At 36.1% G+C, this 19,056-nt stretch overlaps 1 long non-coding RNA gene across 1 annotated transcript; it reads right to left on the bottom strand.

Annotated features, from left to right (window-relative positions):
- Positions 1-915: 915 nt before the first annotated feature.
- On the bottom strand, positions 916-17,523 carry LINC02676 (long intergenic non-protein coding RNA 2676). The gene is made up of 4 exons (NR_131944.1): positions 17,430-17,523; positions 12,798-12,878; positions 1,610-1,690; positions 916-1,025 (listed from the first exon to the last, which is right to left on the bottom strand). It is a non-coding gene; the product is annotated as a long intergenic non-protein coding RNA 2676 (long non-coding RNA).
- Positions 17,524-19,056: the final 1,533 nt, after the last annotated feature.

Below are 19,056 nucleotides of genomic sequence, written 5' to 3'. Positions count from 1 at the left end.
ATCAAAATTATTGGATATATTTAATGACTTGCAATCTAGCTGTTTCACTTCTACGGTCAGGAGGTAGAAAACATATCTCAAGAAGAATTTTAAAGCGAACTCTAAAACACACTGTGAAGACACATGTAGATGATAAAGCTACTGAAATTCAGAAAGAATCAAATCAGACCTCATTGCTGTCCCCAACTGATAGAAAATATAAAATTAAAAATACTCTGTCGCAAGGACAAAACACCAAACACCACATGTTCTCACTCATAGGTGGGAATTGAACAATGAGGACACATGGACACAGGAAGGGGAACATCACACACCGGGGCCTGTTGTGGGGTGGGGGGAGGGGGGAGGGATAGCATTGGGAGATATACCTAATGTTAATGATGAGTTAATGGGTGCAGCACACCAACATGGCACATGTATACATATGTAACAAACCTGCATGTTGTGCACATGTACCCTAAAACTTAAAGTATAATATAAAAAAATTAATAGATTATTTTTACCAAGAGAATACAATAAGCCTCTATGAGTCTATGACATAAAGAAATGGATGAATGAATGAATGAATGAATGGGAAATAACAGCTCTCCCAATGAATAAATGTAGAAAGAAGATGGAAATATGAATTCACCAATAGGATACCACAGTAATAATTGTTGCAGGCAAGATGTGCCAATGAAAGCCAAAATTCATGGGTAAAACTTTGAGGAGAAAGATTATATGTGCCTAGTGCAAAATTATCACCCTCAAGATACCCATTCATTGCTAAAGGAAAAATAGTAATTTTAAAAATGGAAACACCTGGAAGATGCCATCTCAGCCAAGTGATCAAGATTAAAATCACCAGTAATAAGACATATTGACATCCCACACTACCTGATTTGATACACTAAGAAGGGCTTATCATTTCTGTGGTACTCTTGGCCAACAATGCACGTGTAACATTTATTCATTGAAACACATTAGGCAGAATTGCAGGACATTCTTCAAAATAGCTGTCCAATACTCTTCAAAAGTGTCAGGTCCTGGAAGACAAAGAGATACTGAGGAACCATCACAGAGTGGGAGAGGACATAGAGTGATAAAAACTAACTGTGATGTGGAATCCTACATTGGATCATGGACCAGAAAGACAGCACTGATGGGAAGACTGATGAAATCTGAATAAGTCTGTAGTTTGGTTTAAAGAAGAAGAATAATAACAATAATGGTTTAGCTGCTGGCTCCTTAATAAAATTCCCCTAGTTACTGTAATGTCTGAAAATGAACCCCCTATGGTGGGCTACTGTGACTGTTCACTGCATTTGAGAATAAAGAATAATTAAGGAAAAAAATACTCTGTCAGCCTAGGCAATATAGTGAGACTCTATCTGTACAAAAAAAAATTTAAAAAGATAATAAGCAGGGTGTAGTGGTGGCACCTGTGGTTCCCAGCTACAGGGGAGACTGAGGTGGGAGGATCACTTGAGCTCGGGAGGCTGAGGTGAGCTATTATTGCATCTCTGCACTCCACCTGGGTGACAGAGCAAGACCCTGTCTCAAAATATAAAAAATAAATAAATGCTAAGGTCAATAGGTCTACAATTCTTCTGGCGATGAGTCATCTCACTTGCAAAATCGGTTTGTGGACTTGGCAGGAGTCCAGTTCAGGTTGTTCATCTTCATCGTTTTTCTTGTTTTAGGGGGGTCACTGCCAAAAAGTGGGTAATGAAAAGAGTTAAGGTCAAAAGAGCTGCATCTTCAAAGCAAGGAAGCTACTCTTCAGAGAATAATTTTCTGGACAATTGAAAAAAAAATGTCTAAAGATACACAAGATTTTTGTGTGTTTATATTCCCTGTGAAAGAAGCTCTTGAGAGCAAAACAAAATGAAAGAGAGCCTTTGCTTCTTGAGGTGAAAGAAGACAGTTCCTGGAAAGAAGAGGCACTGTAATTCCCGGCAACACCTCCGGTTTGGTCACCATTTAATGAAGAACACAGAGCCTGTTGACTACCGACACCAGGTATAAACTGTGTTCATTTGCAGCTTTGTTAGCGCCTTTGTCAAGAGTACATTCATATAACGACATTATCAGATAATGCATTTGAACAAGAAACTAATGGTGGAAAAAAACAACTGGACAAGGTGAACAAGACTTGCCCACATGTAAATGATTCTGGGAAATAACATTAATAGCTTCATATTTTTAATAGCAGTCACTTTAATATTTTTAGAGTCTATGATAAATATCACACTTGAAATCCCAGCACTTTGGGAGGCTCAGGTGGGCTGATGTCTTGAATCCAGGAGTTCGAGACCAGCCTGGACAACCTGGGGAAACCCCATCTCTACAAAAAATGCAGAAGAAATTATTGGGGTTTGGTGGGATGTGCCTGTAGTCTCAGGTACTCAGGAGGCTGAGGTGGGAGGATCGCTTGAGCTCAGGAGGCCGAGGTTGCTGTGATCCAAGATTGCACCACTGCACTCCAGCCTGGGCAACAGAGTGAGACCCTTTCTCAAAAATAAATAAATAAATAAATAAATAAATAAATAAATAAATAAAGTGTATTTATTAACCATACACCTTATTTTATTTTAAAGTGTATGATTAAATTTTAAAATAAAATAAAATGTATGGTTAATAAATCAATTTTGTAAGGACACCCATAATTTGAAAAAGCGAACTACTATACACACATAGCCTTAATTGAAATCTTCATAAAATGCATTCTTTGAATAACAGCATCAATTTTGGTAAGTGGCAAATATTAAAGAAATAGAAGTTAGCCAATTACCAAAAAAGGAAAAGACATGAGTGATGCCCAGAAATGACAGCAAAAGCCGTTGAAGATGTAAAATGTTTTTAATGCATAATCTTAGTTTTTATGCAAAGGTGTACATGAAAGCTCATACAGTATTAAACATGTGCAACAGTGTATTTGTTTCTATGTGTGTGTGCATATATATACATATATGCATCCATGCTACACATATATAATTCCAACCTCAGTTTCACCAAACTGTCCTCATCCATGATGAGAAGCAAACTGTAAGATGAAGTTGTAATCATGGAGATTAACAGTATGTTTTCACCCTGTTTTTAACCTCCCCTTAATTTCCTGACATAGCTTTTGGTTTCACTCTACTCTTTGACCTTTGGATTTCTGAACTTTATTTTACCTTTTTTGTTTGTTTGTTTTCTTGGAAGGGTTTTAACCTACTGGGGCCATTGTCATTTACAGGAAGCTACAGGAAGCATGTGTGTCTGCCTCTGTGTGTGGGAGAAGGGGACAAGCTGCCGCGTTAGAATAGAGACGAGGAGGCAAGGGAATGGGCATTTTGGACGTTGCCTGCATGCTAAGCCCAGGGGCAGAATGGACTTAATTACTTAAATATCTATCTCTAAAATTCTACTTAAAACATTTAAAAGCACAGATATTGTTTCTTTCTAGAGTTACCATTTGACCTGAACTTTCTACTGTGCCCAATAAAATAGAAAAGGCCTAAATGTAACTTTAGGATTCAAATAGTAAGGATATTCATCTTTAATGTTTTACTGCTCCTAAAAATGACACATTTTCTACCAAAAGTAGCTTCTTGTTTGGAATGAAAAAATTTTCTTTGCTATTTGTGTGTGTGTGTGTGTGTGTGTTTATTCCACTTTTTTTCCTCTAACAAATATTTTCAAAGTCAAAGAGAGGGATTTTCATTTTAGATGACGATTAACCCATTGTGAGAGAAGGCTTGACAGTTCAAAGACAATTTGTCACCAAGGGTTGAGGTTGGCATGAGTTACAGATTCTCCAGGCCCCAATTCGTGTCCTTGATCTACCTCATCTGTTTCCTTTCTTTGCCTTGACTCACCATAAAACGAGTCCTTGATAAATTTGGGGTCAGTGAAGGAGACTGCTTAGTTTAATGTGTCAAGAGAAATTCCTGATTTCCATTCCAGACCACTTGTGGAGCTGTTGCCCTTTTCTTGCAGTATAACTTTCCGACTTACACAAAAGTGGCTATCATGCTATGGATTGCTGACTGTACAATATAGCATTAATTTTAAAGTGGAATATCCTATGACACTGCTTTCAACAGTCAGTATTATTTGATGTTATCTTTTAGTCTTCCAGTATAAAAAGACAGTAAGAACCTGGCTCTACCTGGAGTTAATAACTAAAAATTCAATATACTCCTGCAAGATATAAATGTGTTAGTCTTTCTGAGAAAGATCAAACTAATTTAAGAACTCCCCTCATATTGAGAACAGTTCACAGAAATTTACAGCTGCTTCTTTCCGTGAGATAGGATCTCCTGCTTCAGTGTATGTGCTGAAAGCCAATTAAAACATTACATACCTTGAGGATATTAATATGAAGCAAAAGAAAATGACTGATGGGAAGGTCAAAGCAGACTTAGCAAAGCAAAAGCAATGTCCAGTAAAGAATAACCTGTAGACCTCCTACAACTCACCAACTTCCTAAAATTTATTATATAAATGTGGACAATGATAGCTGGGCTCTTTTCCAACTCTTAAGTTTCTGGACAGTCAGTTCCTTTATATGAGCAAAATTCTTGGGAGACAAACTCTATTCTATATTCCCACTAGGACAATGACTCCAGGTATCTCGCTTCAGTAAGGATGCCAGACTCAGAGCCTATTGGAATGGCCAGTATGGCAGGGCGAAGAGTGTTCTATCACCAACTGGAGTAGAATGAATTCAGATTCTAGGTAAAAGTTTTCGGTAGCCACAGAAGGCATTGGCATTCTTAAACAAATTAACTGTGTTGACATTCAGTCTTCCTTGAAATAATTGAAAATTTATATGATCCATGATTATTGTTTTGTTTTTTTATGAAGTCCTCCACATTAGCACATGAACCTTTGGAAAATAACCACATAGACTCAAGCAATCAGTGCTTTGTTAACACAGCTGAGAACAGTGGGTGGGCCATTTTTTTTCAGGTGAGAAAAAGCAGGCTGAGAACTGAACAGCTCCAGTCGCTTCTGTTTGTTTGAGGATCTTATCCCCAGGGCTGTGTTCTCTTGGCTGGGCATACCTGTTGATCACGCTGCTTAACTGTAATTATTCCAGACAGCTTTTTGGCTCACATTGTTGTTTCATAGGCTTCATAAATCATACAAATTATTACCGCAATAGAAAACTATAATTACCCACAAACCCTGACATGCCAAAATGTGTATTAATTAGATAAGGTAATAAATACTTTACTGCACATGGCTATAATCATTACTTCAAAAATGACATCTATACATATGCCATCTTGATATTCTGCAGCAAATGATTCAATATAATTTTCAGTTCATAACAGAATTGTTATCTAATTTGATTAATTAGTTAATGCTGTTCCAAGGTGTTTTAAGTACAAAAAATGATGTAGAATTGTTAAGTTTCAAGCTTAATGTTATGATCACATGAGATGCAAACTATAATTTGTAGAGAAATTTCTTATGGGGATAATTTATTGAAGTGTATATTTCTTAGTTCTAAATTTGGGTTAACATAGGATGTTTCTAGAATAATGATCACTATTAAAATTTTGCTCATCCCATTTCTCTAAGGGTTTAAAATAATTAATTCTTTATTTCAAAAAATAATGAAACTTTATATTTGGTAGGAATAAGCATAATGTTCCGAAATGTATACTTTCTATGCGCTAATCAAGCCTTACATTTCAATGTGGAAAGAAATTCCAAGAGTAGACTTGAAAGAACATATTAAGTCAGTGTGCTCTCAGATAAATATTCAGTACATAATACATTGTCCTTACATCTTTAGAAAGATGTGTAACTTCAGAATTATAAGATAATATGGAGTAGAGCACTGCAACTACATTCAAGACCCTATTATGTCCCCATATATTCAACCAAACCTACTGATTTTTGAATCAGTTTTTTTAATATATGCAGAAGAACTGGATCTTATTTTTGATGCTATAAATGTCGTATATATAGCAACAGTTCTATTTGTATTTCAACTGATACACCTGAAACAATGCATTCAAGTAAAAGTTTTGTCCTGAAGAATAAGAAAAGACATTAAATTTCATAGAGATGAGAGATAAGTCAACTAAACTACTACTGAATTAAATATGTTCCAGAAAACATTAACACTGGTGCATTTTATTTGAGTAGAGGTATTCTTAAGGGACCTTTAATATGAAGAAATAAAATATAAGTGCTTCATATTTTCCTATTTAGATGATTATCTCCATGAGTCATTTAAAAATGAATTCAGAGACAATTGATTCACATGTCCTCATTTTACCAATATTGGGAAATGATTAGGGAGTGTCATGAAAAGGAAATCATGTTGAAGATAACATATTAGCTATTCCACTGCAAAGTCCTTTCAAAAATAATGAAAAAGATTCTGTAATGGAGACAGTAAAAGTAGAACAACTGTGCAACAATTTTTCTGCAACTAATCTGCTTCTCAATGTCTAACATTGTGCCTAGCATATATTAGGCATCCATTAAGTATGGGTTGAATAAATACATGTGATCACATAAAATTTATCCAGGAGGTGAGGAGTTAATTAAATGACATTGTACTTTATCAAGTAATAATATCATTATAACAGATGACTTTGGTGAAATGAGAATAATTCAAAGATGCTGCTAATTCAGAATGAAAAATAATACCATAAAATATGGAAAGAATGAGGAAGGAAGCATTTAAAGAAGATTTTGTTTTAAACACTCAAAATCAAGCTGATATCATGGGGATTCATTTGTCCAAAATCTTTTAGTACATCACTGAAAAGGCAGAACACTAGTAATAAAAGATGCGAAACTGTGCAAACGTTATATCCCAATATCTTAGCATATCCCATATATGGAATTATCTATAAATATAGAAAGAAAATTTGCAAATCTGTAGTTTATTGGGCATTTTTTAAAAGAGAAGATATAGGAATTTTAGAACATGAGCCAATTCTAAGGTAGCATTTTTCTACTTAGACTGTCTTGTGGTCAGTATCATGCTGGCTGTTGTAGAATGGTGCAATCCAAAAGAAATCCATTAATAAAAAAACACTATTGATAATTCCAGCTTCTGTTTCTGTAAATAAGTCATATTAGGTTGTTTACAACAATCTTCCTACTGAAAACTAAAAGGGATACTAGATAGTTTTTTAATATAATTTAATTTTAATTTTAATTTCTGAGATGCAAGTGCAGGTTTGCTACATAGGTAAACGTGTGCCCTGGTGGTTTGCTGCACCTATCAACCCATCACCCAGGTACTAAGCCCTGCATGCATCAGCTATTTATCCTAATGCTCTCCCTCCCCCTGCGCCCCCAACAGGCCCCAGTGTGTGTTGTTTCCCTCCCTGTGTCCATGTGTTCTCACTGCTCAGCTTCCGCTTATAAGAGAACATACAGTGTTTGGTTTTCTGCTCCTCTGTTAGTTTGCTGAGGATAATGGCATAAATGTTCTTTAGAAGCATCAGACAGCCATTAGATTAGTTAAGAAATAACCAGGCCAGAATCTTAGAGCGGTAACCAGAGGAGTAAGTGGCATTCTGAGGACATAGGTTAATTCAGAAAAACTTGAACTTCAGGGCAAGAGAGACAGAGACCAAGTCTCTGCACCTATCCAATATGTACCATCCACTGGGAGGCATCCATCCTACCTTAAGCAGGGCTCTGAAAGAACTACAACTTCAGGGAAAAACTGAAGTTGCACAGAAGTCAGCCAGCCTCGTCATGCTTGGAGAACTACAAGTTTTCTTGCAGCTGAGTCGAACAGGAGAAAAGGAGGGAATCATCGTATATTGATTCTATCTAAGACAGACTCATCTTTTGTTGTCACATGTCAAAGTTATGACATTGCAAATCACATCTGGAAATCTCAACATAGAACTGATTTTACACTTTTCAGTACTCCTATTTACTTTCCCAGGAAAAAATAATTGATTCAACCTGTCAATCAACCACTTGCTCCGTAGATAGCCATTAAATGCCTTTTCTGCAAAGTACTATGGGGCACAAAAAATTGGAGAGTACCTTCTCATCTTCTCACATTGATCTCTCATTTTCCGGCATTTAAGCCCAATTGTTTCAGGGTATGACAAGACTTCAAATAACATATACATTAAGCAAATTTTCCTAGTTTCATGGGATTAATCTTATTTACTGTTAGGAATCACCTGGATTCTCAGGTCCCAATTTCACAAATGCCATACCTTCTGCCCATTAGGTTAGGCACTTGTGGGGATTTATGGAAATCCAGATATAATAAAATCCATGTAATTTAGGCAGCCCAAGAAATAGTGACGTATTTATTGTGAAGAAGTAGTTTAGGTACTGGCCAGAATTTGGGTTCACAGTGAAATAAAGACCTTTATTATAAGCTCAAAATGAGACTCAAGAAACTGTAATAAGTGGAATTTCAAAATCTAGAAGATCAAAGATTTTATATTAATATAAACATAAATTTCATCATTAAATATGTATTAATTGAGCACCTAATTTGCATCAAACACAATGCTAGACAACCCAGTAATTAATAGAGAAGACAAGGATAAGTTTTTTTCCCAAACAAAATTGCCTATTCAAAAGAGGTTTATGTAATAGACATTTGTCATTCAGCCTCATAGTTAATTATTGAGACAATTTTATGTTTAAACTAAACAATTATGAATCATGTGCCTATTTTTGTTCATCATTATATCCTCTATACTTACATAATATTTGGTGCTTAGATAATAATCAATGTTTGATGAATGAGTGAATGCATTAAATAATAAAGGAATAAAAAGAAAGCCTCTTTCAGATAATGGCACTCACCTATAAACCTTTAGAAACACTTATATTCTATTGGAGGATTAATGAAAAAGAATATTGTAATTACTTAAATTCCATCTGATGATGGCCGATATTGCGGTTCTTTATGTTTATTATGTTAATTCTAAATGATTATCTATTTCATAATGCCATACCTGGTAATTGCTGAAATGATTTATGATTTCTGATGAAGCTTATCTATTTGGAGGGGTTAAAAGAAAAACAGCATGAGACTATGAAAATAAAAAAGAAGAAAGACATAGTTTGTCATTCAGTTTTATGTGAGCTGAATGGTTTATAGTGAGAAACTGTTGGATGCAATTTCAGTAAGCAAGGATTTTGTGGAGAGATTAGATCAGTTACAAATTGCTAAATCTGATGGCTTAGATAAAAGTTTTACCAGAGGCTTTAAAAGAAGTAGAACATGTTTTGGGGAGAAGCAATTGCCTTCTGGAGAATGCACTTATATCTATCTATCTATATCTCTTTCTATATATAGATGTATAGATATAATTTTTATTATGCTTTATTTTATTATAATTTTTATTATACTTTAAGTTCTGGGATACATGTGCAGAACGTGCAGATTTGTTACGTCGGTATACACGTGCCATGGTGGTTTACTGTACCCATCATCCCGTCATCTACATTAGGTATTTCTCCTAATGCTATCCCTCCCCTACCCCCGACCCCCTGACAGGCCCCGGTGTGTGACACAGGCCCTCCCTGTGTCCACGTGTTCTCATTGTTCAACTCCCAGTTATGAGTGAGAACATGCGGTGTTTGGATTTCTGTTCCTGTGTCAGTTTGCTGAGAATGATGGTTTCCAGTTTCATCCATGTTCCTGCAAAGGACATGAACTCATTCTTTTTTATGGCTGCATAGTATTCCATGGTGTGTATGTGCCACATTTTCTTTATCCAGTCTATCACTGATAGGCAATTGGGTTGTCATAGTATATATTTTTAACAGCAAATTAAATGTAGACAGATTGTGTAACTAGATCCGCAATTAGAAGAAAATGATTGAATCTTCAGGTAGGACAGACAAATCATCTTTATATGTGTATAATGCATAAATACATAGATATAAGTAAATATCCTGTGTGTTCCTTTTTAAAGTACCTCCCTGCTATGCTAGATCACTAATATACAAAAGATCTAGCATATAAAAGGCCTAACATTTTTGTTTGATTTTGTTTTTCTTCATCTTTTCTGTTCTTGGCTTGGAAATAATCTTGAGGTGATCTCTCATCTCACCCATTAAACCGTGTGGGGCTAACAGGAAGGAGTACATGTCTTTAAATCTCTCTGAACACTTCAAGCATTCAACTGCATTGAGTCCAGTTTGAAAAGTTTTCAAAATGTTAAATGCAGTCACATTTTGAAAAGACAACCTCTCCTTGACTCCTTATTGATTTGTGGGTGTGTATGTCTGTAGGTCTGCGTGTATGTATGTTGTCTGACGATTGGAGAAGCAGGAAAAAGATTGCAAGAAAAGTCCAAAACCCATTTTTTCCTGAAGATCAGCCAAATAAGATGTCATTAAAATTGGGCAGTTGATCCTCAACTCCTAAGAATGCTCAAATCTTCCTAAAATTGTGCACAACTTCACATTTCACTCTTGAGCTTCGGCTTTGGCAGTTAAAATGCATTTATTATCATGAAAAATACCATTAATCTTTACTTTTAGAAAGCTTTTTAAAAACTATATTGTTATAAGAGATGCTTTGAGACTTTTAATCTATTGAACTAAAAAGATCAAAGACAACTAATTCAGACTTTTAGAGAATTTCAACTGTGATTAAAATTCAAGAAAAATATATTAAATATATAGTATTAAATGTCTAAGGAGACTTGAGATCATTTTCTGGCTGAAGCCCTTGGGCCAATTCCTAAAGCCCTATCTTGCCATGTTTGATTTTATGATATGTCCATAGCCTAGTATGTAGCTTACACATGCTCAAAATCAACATCAATCACATCTGTGCACATGATCAAATTCAAAGTACTACTGGGAAATGTAGATATTCCTAAAGAAAAAGAATGCAAATTTTGTCTTTAGAAAAACACTAAAGGTGTTTCACTGTATCTTCCAAGTCTTCTGAGTCAAGGACAAACAGGGTTAAGTGACATATCCATATCACTGAGCACAGGATTTAATTGTGGTGGTAATACTGATACTAACAATGTTAAAACCAACTACATTTTTCCCCAAGGGGTTTTTCTTTTCCTTCTTATTCTTCAGTTTTTAAAGTCATTAAAAGGTAAAACTAAGGTGCAGAAAACCAAAACTTTAAGTCCAGATGGTCTGTTTCATTTTGGAATGAGTTATCCAATCCTTAGGCTTGATTTTTCTCATGTGAAAAATCTCTTCTTAGGCTAAGATACGATGTCACTACCTCAGTTTGAGTTTTTCACAGAATTAAATTAGAACTGGAAGGAACTAATTTATTTAAGTCATCAGCTCATTCTGTAGACCACTGGCATTAGCTATGCAAAAATAGCAAAATATGCTATTTTGATTCACAACATGCCAGTTTTATAGGAGTGGCTGAATATCCCGGAGATGTCCAATGAACTCTTTGGTGGAAAGGGATGTGGCAGTCACCCAAATAGGAATCAGAGTGGTTTTAATGCTTCAATTTCCAGTTTATTTCAACATATGATGCATTTCCACTCCTGCTGCACTGGGGCTATTGGCCACAACAAGTAAGCATGAGAAGCCAGAGCTCAGATTGCCAAGGAAAAGTTGAGACAAATAAAGTTCATTGAGATAGAGTGTGTCTATAGTTACAGTAACAAGGCCTGTACTTGGGAGGGAATCAGGGAACCCAGGTAAATACAAGCAAACTGGAATCAAACCAGGCCATTCAGTTACATCCCACCAATGAGCTGCCAGAGCATGGAAGACAATTTCTGCCTTAGCCGTGAGGCCTCCTATGTGCTTCCTGCTGAGACAAGAACCAATTGCAAGAATTGTTCTGCAATTGAGTGCAGACAGTCCTCATTGCAGAGGTGTTAAGAGGATTAATCTAGTTTGAGTAAATGATGTGGGTTTATATCTAGGTGAGAGAATGACAATGTGTCACTCCTCTTGTGTGTTTTACAAAGGATGATCAGAAACAGGCTGATCTCACAAGTTAAGTCTGTGGGGCTAAAGGGCTGCCTTTGAAAGTACTTTGCAGCATGGCTATTTCTCCCATTAAATTCAAAGGTTATTCCAGAATAGCTCCATACTGGTCTGTACTTATGCTCTATGTATCTTCTCAAAAGAGAACTCAGCTAGGAGAATCCCCACTTGCAGACAACGTTTCTGCTCCCTGAGTTGGTGGCGAGCCTTCCTTAGAACTGGGAGGCTGAGCCAAGTTAGTCCCAGTGGGGAGTCAATTTGCCAGTTACACTGTCTCAGTCTCTAACCATTTCCAATCTAGGTAGTTGCAAATAGAAAAAGTTGAACTTTTGCAAAATCAGCAGGAGAGAGTCCCACCTAAGGGTGAGGCAAATTGAAATTAAGATTGTGAAATAGATGCCTTGAGCATCAATCAGAAATGTTTTTAAAGAGAAAGTGTGAATAAGGAAGACTTGAGGCTAGAGGACGCTTCATTTGTGTCAGACTCCTTTGGCAAGAGCTGTTACGTGTTCCAAAAATGAGGTCATGGGAGTTGGCAGTGGTGTCTCATATAGAATAAAGTTTGGGAGATATAGTGCCCTCAGAAACAAGAAGAATATTTATAGACATAATAGGAACTAATAACTTGATCTGGGCTTGATAAATTACCTTTCATCAAAGAGTTCAAATGTCCATCATAATGATTTTTTTTTACTCATTCTTGGGAAATAAAGGAAGACCCAATATTATTATATATAACAACAGTATTGTTATACAGCAATATTATATATTAATAATATATAATATTATGATACCTTTATTATATAATATATATTGTTAATAATAATAATGTTTTTAAGGAGAAAGAAATCAAGTTCAAAGTGATTTAGGAATTTACTCACACTTATACAATGAATCAAGGGCTAACCAGGCTCAGCCGGTTCAGAGTTTGGTGCCGTGGCTAAAGAGAAAGAATCTCATTGCTGGAAAAAAAAAAAGTCCCCCAGAGTTAAAATGATGTTCATTTTTCTAATCTCTGTGGCTCTAATCTATGCATCCACTTATCTCTAATATGGCTTTTTAAATTTTTCATTATACATAGTTGAAAATATCTTGAAAATATCTCTTTAAAACTCTGCTTATAATCAATAATCTGGGATACAGTGATAGAGTTAGAAAATCATCAATGAATATGCTAAAACCAGTAGTTCAAAGTTTGGTGAAGAAGAGGATATTTGCACAGTCTTAGAGCATCCCCTCAGAAACACACATTAGTCTCACAGTCTCCCCTCACAGTCTCTGAGTGTCTTCTCACAAATACATACAAAGAGGAAAATAGAGACTATGGTTGAGAAACCGAGTGGACAGCACATTTATCAAGCAACTACAACTAAAGTCATCAGTAATAGCAAACCAAATTCAAGTGCCTCCTGAAATAACATACCGAGAAGGACACCACATCACATTTGTGGTATTCCTGTCCTCTTCCCAAAAACTGCATAATTTGAATCATATCATGAAGAAACATCAGACAAACTGAAATCGGAGTGCCTTATACAAAAATAATTGAACAATCTCCAAAAACGCCAAGGCCCAGAAAGACAAAGACTGAGAAATTGTTCAAGACTACATGAAACTAAAATCTCATGAAACTAAATGCAATGTGTGATTCTGGACTGGATCTTATTAAAAATATTATTGTCCAGGCATGTTGGTTCACGCCTATAATCTTAGCACTTTGAGAGGCCAAGATGGGTGGATCGCTTGAGCCCAGGAGTTCCAGACCAGCCTGGGGAACATAGTGAAACCTCATGTCTCCAAAAACTGCAAAAATTAGCCAGGTGTGCTGGTGTATGCCTGTAGTTCCAGCTACTTGGAAGGTTGGGGTGGGAGGATGGCTTGAGCCCAGGAGTTTGAGGCTGCAGTGAGCCACAGTCGTGCCATGGCAGACGGGGTGTCACTCCAGCCTAGGTGACAGAGTGAGACTCTTGTCTCAAAAAACAAAGAATTATTAGGACAATTAAAGACTTTGAATATAGACTGTGGATTAGACAATGTGTTATATATTTAACATTAGCAATGTTAAATTTCCTAATTCATGTAGTGGTGATATTGGAGAGTGCTCTTATTTTTAATAATACACACTGGAATATTTAGGGATAGAAGGTCATCAACACACTTTCATCTCAATTCTTAAAAGGGTTCTGAGAATTAAAAATATCGATATAGGATGCTAAGACAATGAAGCAAACTGTAAATAATTGGTCAATCAATTTATTTATTTGTTGACTATCTAAAGTCTAGGATATCTTCATAAGAAAGACTTGAAACATTCAACAAATTATTACCAATTCCCCAATTATGTGTCAAAAACTGCTCTAGAACTGAGGACATATTGGTGAGAAAAACACATAGAGTTACTCTTAGGGGCTTGACCATATTTACCTGTTTTCCAAAGCATTTGCTTAATATGAACTTCTCCATTTAAAATAAAATATGAAGTGGGATGGAGACCAGAGCCCTTTTTCTTGAGATAAATACCCTTATTTCTTGAATTCTAAAAGTAAAACCAAGTAACTGAATCAATGGAACAAGTCTTTACAGCCTGTTCACCTCCTAGCCCAGGTTCTGTGTCAAGCAGCAGTTCATGTTTTATATTTTCTCCCCTTGCTAAGAGGGATTCGTTTGATTGTTAAAGTTTGTAAGCGTTATTTGGCCGTGGTTCCTATCACATCCTCGATCTTGAAGCTTTGTTGTACTCAAGTGGAGGAAAGGACCCCATTAATTTATATGCCTTTTCCTCCACTAGCTCAACTCTCTGTACATAAACAGAAGTAATTTCGAGCAGTGGGGATTCAAGGATAATTTTTTAAAAAATTAAATCATTTCTTACCACAAATAAAAGACTCCACATAAGCATTACTCTCTGTAAAGTTCACACTCTGGACTCGTCATAAATAGTCTTTATTCAAAGCCCCATTTTGAAACTGTTTCATAGGATCAGTGATCATTTGTTATAAGATGACAAGATATAAAATTTTAATTAATTGGTCACAAGTAAGTAAACACATGAACCTGGTATTATTATTTTAAAATTATCTATTCATTGTTGGGTAACTTAAACAATTTACAGACGTCTATAGGTGTAAATATGTAGGTGCCATGGTTTACCAAATGTCCGTGAGGCAGAAAAGTGAATTTAGTGTAATGAGAAGCATTGACTTTTTAACTTTCTCATACAATATACTCAAAAAACAAGGCTTGTAAATGTAGACAATTTAGGTAGAGTATCACTCTGGCCACACTTGTAACATTTATGCATGCCTCTGTCAGAAGAGTAATAATAATTAGAGCCCAAAATAAGATGCATAATAATTACTATTATTATTCAACAAGCATTTATTGTCTTGAAAGTGCCATGAACTCTTCTGAATTCAGGAGATATAGCAAAATATATGCGGTAAGTCACTCTCGTGGTACTTAGAATTCAGTGAAATAATAGCTATCTGCTTTATTTTGTTATTTAATAACAAATTTAAAATGATTCATAATAGCAAAGTATTAATCTGAATATTGATCAAGTTTAAAATTATAATCTTCATAAAAATTCTAGGAGATACAAGATATAGCTATTTTATTTTACAGATGAGTAAACTGAGTACAAAGATGTCAAGTAACTTATGCAAGGTCATATAACTAGAAAGCAGCAGAATCAGGCTGGGCGCGGTGGCTCACACCTGTAATCCCAGCACTTTGGGAGGCCAAGGCGGGTGGATCATGAGGTCAGGAGTTCGAGACCAGCCTGGCCAACATAGTGAAACCCCGTCTCTACTAAAAATACAAAAATTAGCCGGGCGTGGTGGCACATGCCTGTAGTCCCAGCTACTCTGTAGGATGAGGCAGGAGAATTGCTTGAACCTGGGAGGTGGAGGTTGCAGTAAGCCGAGACCATGCCATGCCATTGTACTCCAGCCTGGGTGACAGAGTGAGACTCCACCTTAACTCAATTCTAGGGGAATTGGGAGACAAATGGGTAAAAACCCAGAATAAAGTGGAGGATTAATGCAGGAGATTCATGAGAAATTAGGTTGAAAAGTAGGTAGATTTAGACTACAAAGTACTGAGTGATAAACTAAAGGATTTTGTCTTTATCTTTTAGAAATCAGATAACTATAAAATATTTGGGGGAAAGGAATATGACACAATGGCCATCACTTCTCGGAAGATTAAAGTGGTAACTGTTGTGTAGAGCCTACTATAGTGGAGAGACTCAAAGGAAGTAAAGGCCAGGTAGGATATAGTCTAGAATTTAACCCAGAAATAAGATTTTTCACTTAGAGCAGTGGTGGTCACAGCAAATAAACTATAGTCAGCCAAAGGATGTCTGTCTAATTAAGTGAACTGAAGCAGCATACATTCATTTCAGCAATTACAATCATATTGACTCTGCCAATACATAGTAGAACTATGTAATATGGTTACATCATCATGAAGGTGTTCCCAATGATGAGATTAGCAATCAAATCATGCAACCAGTTACGATTCTCCTTTTCCTTTCTAGTTAGCTGCCTTGATGTTGATTTGCTATTTTTTTGTTTTTGGACTTTGGTGTGTCCTAAAAGCACCCTTTTATCAATTAACTATGCTCTAGGGAGTATGACTCAGAGGTATTATCTATGCAAGGAACAGGGAAGTGACAGATTGAGACTATTATCTGATTCAAAGAATCCACTACCGTAAGTGATATAGCCTAAATGAACTGAATGGTACCTGTAAATCAGCTTGAAAGATAATGTTCTCTGTACTCTACATTGTTTTGTTGTATTCTTTATAGGTTATTCCAGTTTTTTCCTTTTCTTCTCCTTCCCAAGTTTATGTTTCTCTCCTGCCTGTCACTGATTCTTCTATTTAAGGGTAGATACAGTAAAACAATAAAAATGGGTCAGCATTGAAATGTCTAAATAAATCTGGGGAAGGCAGTTGTAGAAGAGTTTCATATGGGAACTTGATGCACATTGTCCAGCATAAGGCTGGTATACAGGGAAGCTGAGTTTTCTGAAGTTAGCGACGTGTTAGAGTATAAAACATGATGCAGATGATGGTAACATTAGCAATGTCTGGAATAACTTTCTACATAGATGGGATTGGAGAAGTCCCACAGAGTTCCAGAGACTAGGAAAACCCCTCAGATAAATGTCCCATCTGCTTACTGATGCCTGAAATTATATAAGAAGAGTTTCATTTCTTACCCCAAGGCATTTGATTCCTGTTAAAATGCAACTCTTCTGGGTATGGCAATACTTTAAATTATTGCTCTACCCAAGGGCCGGGGAGTGGGGGAAAGATTATCAGAGGCTTTCTTTAAAGCAGATTTTGACAAGGAGAGGGATGTAGCCACTGGACCCTGGTGGAAAGCAGTGGAACAGTACAACCTTAATCGATAGAGGCCTAGGAGGGGTGGGAAAGGAAATAGAATGGATAAGAAGAATGCAAAATGCAACGGAAAGAACGGAAAGCATGTGAAAAGATCTTACTTTCTCTTCTGGTTCTGAGAATTGATATTGCTGGCTGAGACTGTCCTTTCCTTAGCAATTTGTATCCTTTGTTTAAAGTGTAGCAGAATTCAATGCATGCATATCTCTGCCAATGTGTAACTCGGGTGGAAACAGACACTCTTCTAACGTCATAAGATGATTAATTGTGATATACCTTTGCCAGTTTGGGGTGTGGTGTATGGAAATTACCATAACCCACCCCACCTTTTTTGCTGACCTTTTTCTCTTTTAAACCTAGCTGTGCAAATCTAGTAATTTACTTGGAAAATATAATCATAAATTTTTCAGTCGGGCACATTATATACAGAAAGTATTATATTTATTATATTATATTATATTCACCAGGTTTTTTTTATACCACTTTCTGGAATAGAAGCACTAGTTTACTCAAAATGAAGCAGATCATTAATATGATATTCAGTTAACTATTGAAGATTGCTCTTACTTAACCTATACAGATTATTAATGCAAAAGAAGTCACAGATACTTCCCAAAAAAAGACATACAAGCAGCCAACAAACGTAAATAAAGAAGCTCACATCACTGATCATCAGAGAAATGCAAATCGAAACCACAGTGAGACATCATGTCACATCAGTCAGAATGGCTGTTGGTAAAAAGTAAAAAAATAACAGATACTGGCGAGGCTGCGGAGAAAAGGGAACACTTATACACTGTTGTTAGAAATGTAAATTAGCTCAGCCCACTGTGAAAAGCAGTTTGGAGATTTCTCAAAGAACTAAAATCAGAGCTACCGTTTGACCTAGCCATCTCATTACGGGGTGTGTACCCAAAGAAATATAAATCATTCTACCAAAAAGATACATTCATGCATATGTTCATTGCCGCACTAGTCACAATAGCAAAGTCATGGAATCAACCTAGGTGACTCTCAGTGGTGGACTGAATAAAGAAAATGTGGTGTGGTATATATACACCATGGAATATGACACAACCCTACAAAAGAGTGAAATCATGTTTTGCAGTAACATGGATGCAGCCAGAGGCCATTATCCTAAGCAAATTAATGCAGGAACAGAAAACCAAATACCAATATTCTCACTTATACGTGGGAGCTAAACATTGGGTACACACAGATGTAGAGATGGGAACAATGGCCACTGAGGACTAACAGAGGGGGAGGGAGGGAAAAGGAAAGGGCTATAAAACTACCTGTTGAATATTATGGTCTACCTTGATGATAGGATCAATCATACTCCAAACCTCAGCATCACACAATATACCCAGGTAACAAACCTATACATGTTCTGCCTGAATCTAAAACACAAATAGAACTTTTTTTTAAGTCTTGAACAAATTCTCTGGTGACCTTTGAGTTTGTGGGAAAATGCTTAATTTTAAAAGAGAATTAATGTGTTTAGATTAAAATCAATGAAAAAAATATCTACAACACACTGGATGGGACTTACCCTGATTTTTAGACAATGATAGTCATGTTTCAGTTGTAGTTTTACATTTTGCTACTTCCCAAAATTCTCTGACAAAATAAGAAAAAACATGGGTAACAACTAACTCCAAGAAAATGCTCTTTTAAGTGAGAAAATTATTTCCATAATTATGTTTGTTCACTTTGAATTTTCATAGT

The sequence above is a fragment of the Homo sapiens genome, chromosome 10, assembly GCF_000001405.40.
Source record: "Homo sapiens chromosome 10, GRCh38.p14 Primary Assembly".
Lineage (NCBI taxonomy): Eukaryota > Metazoa > Chordata > Mammalia > Primates > Hominidae > Homo > Homo sapiens.
This window is presented reverse-complemented; position numbering and strand designations above follow the sequence as displayed.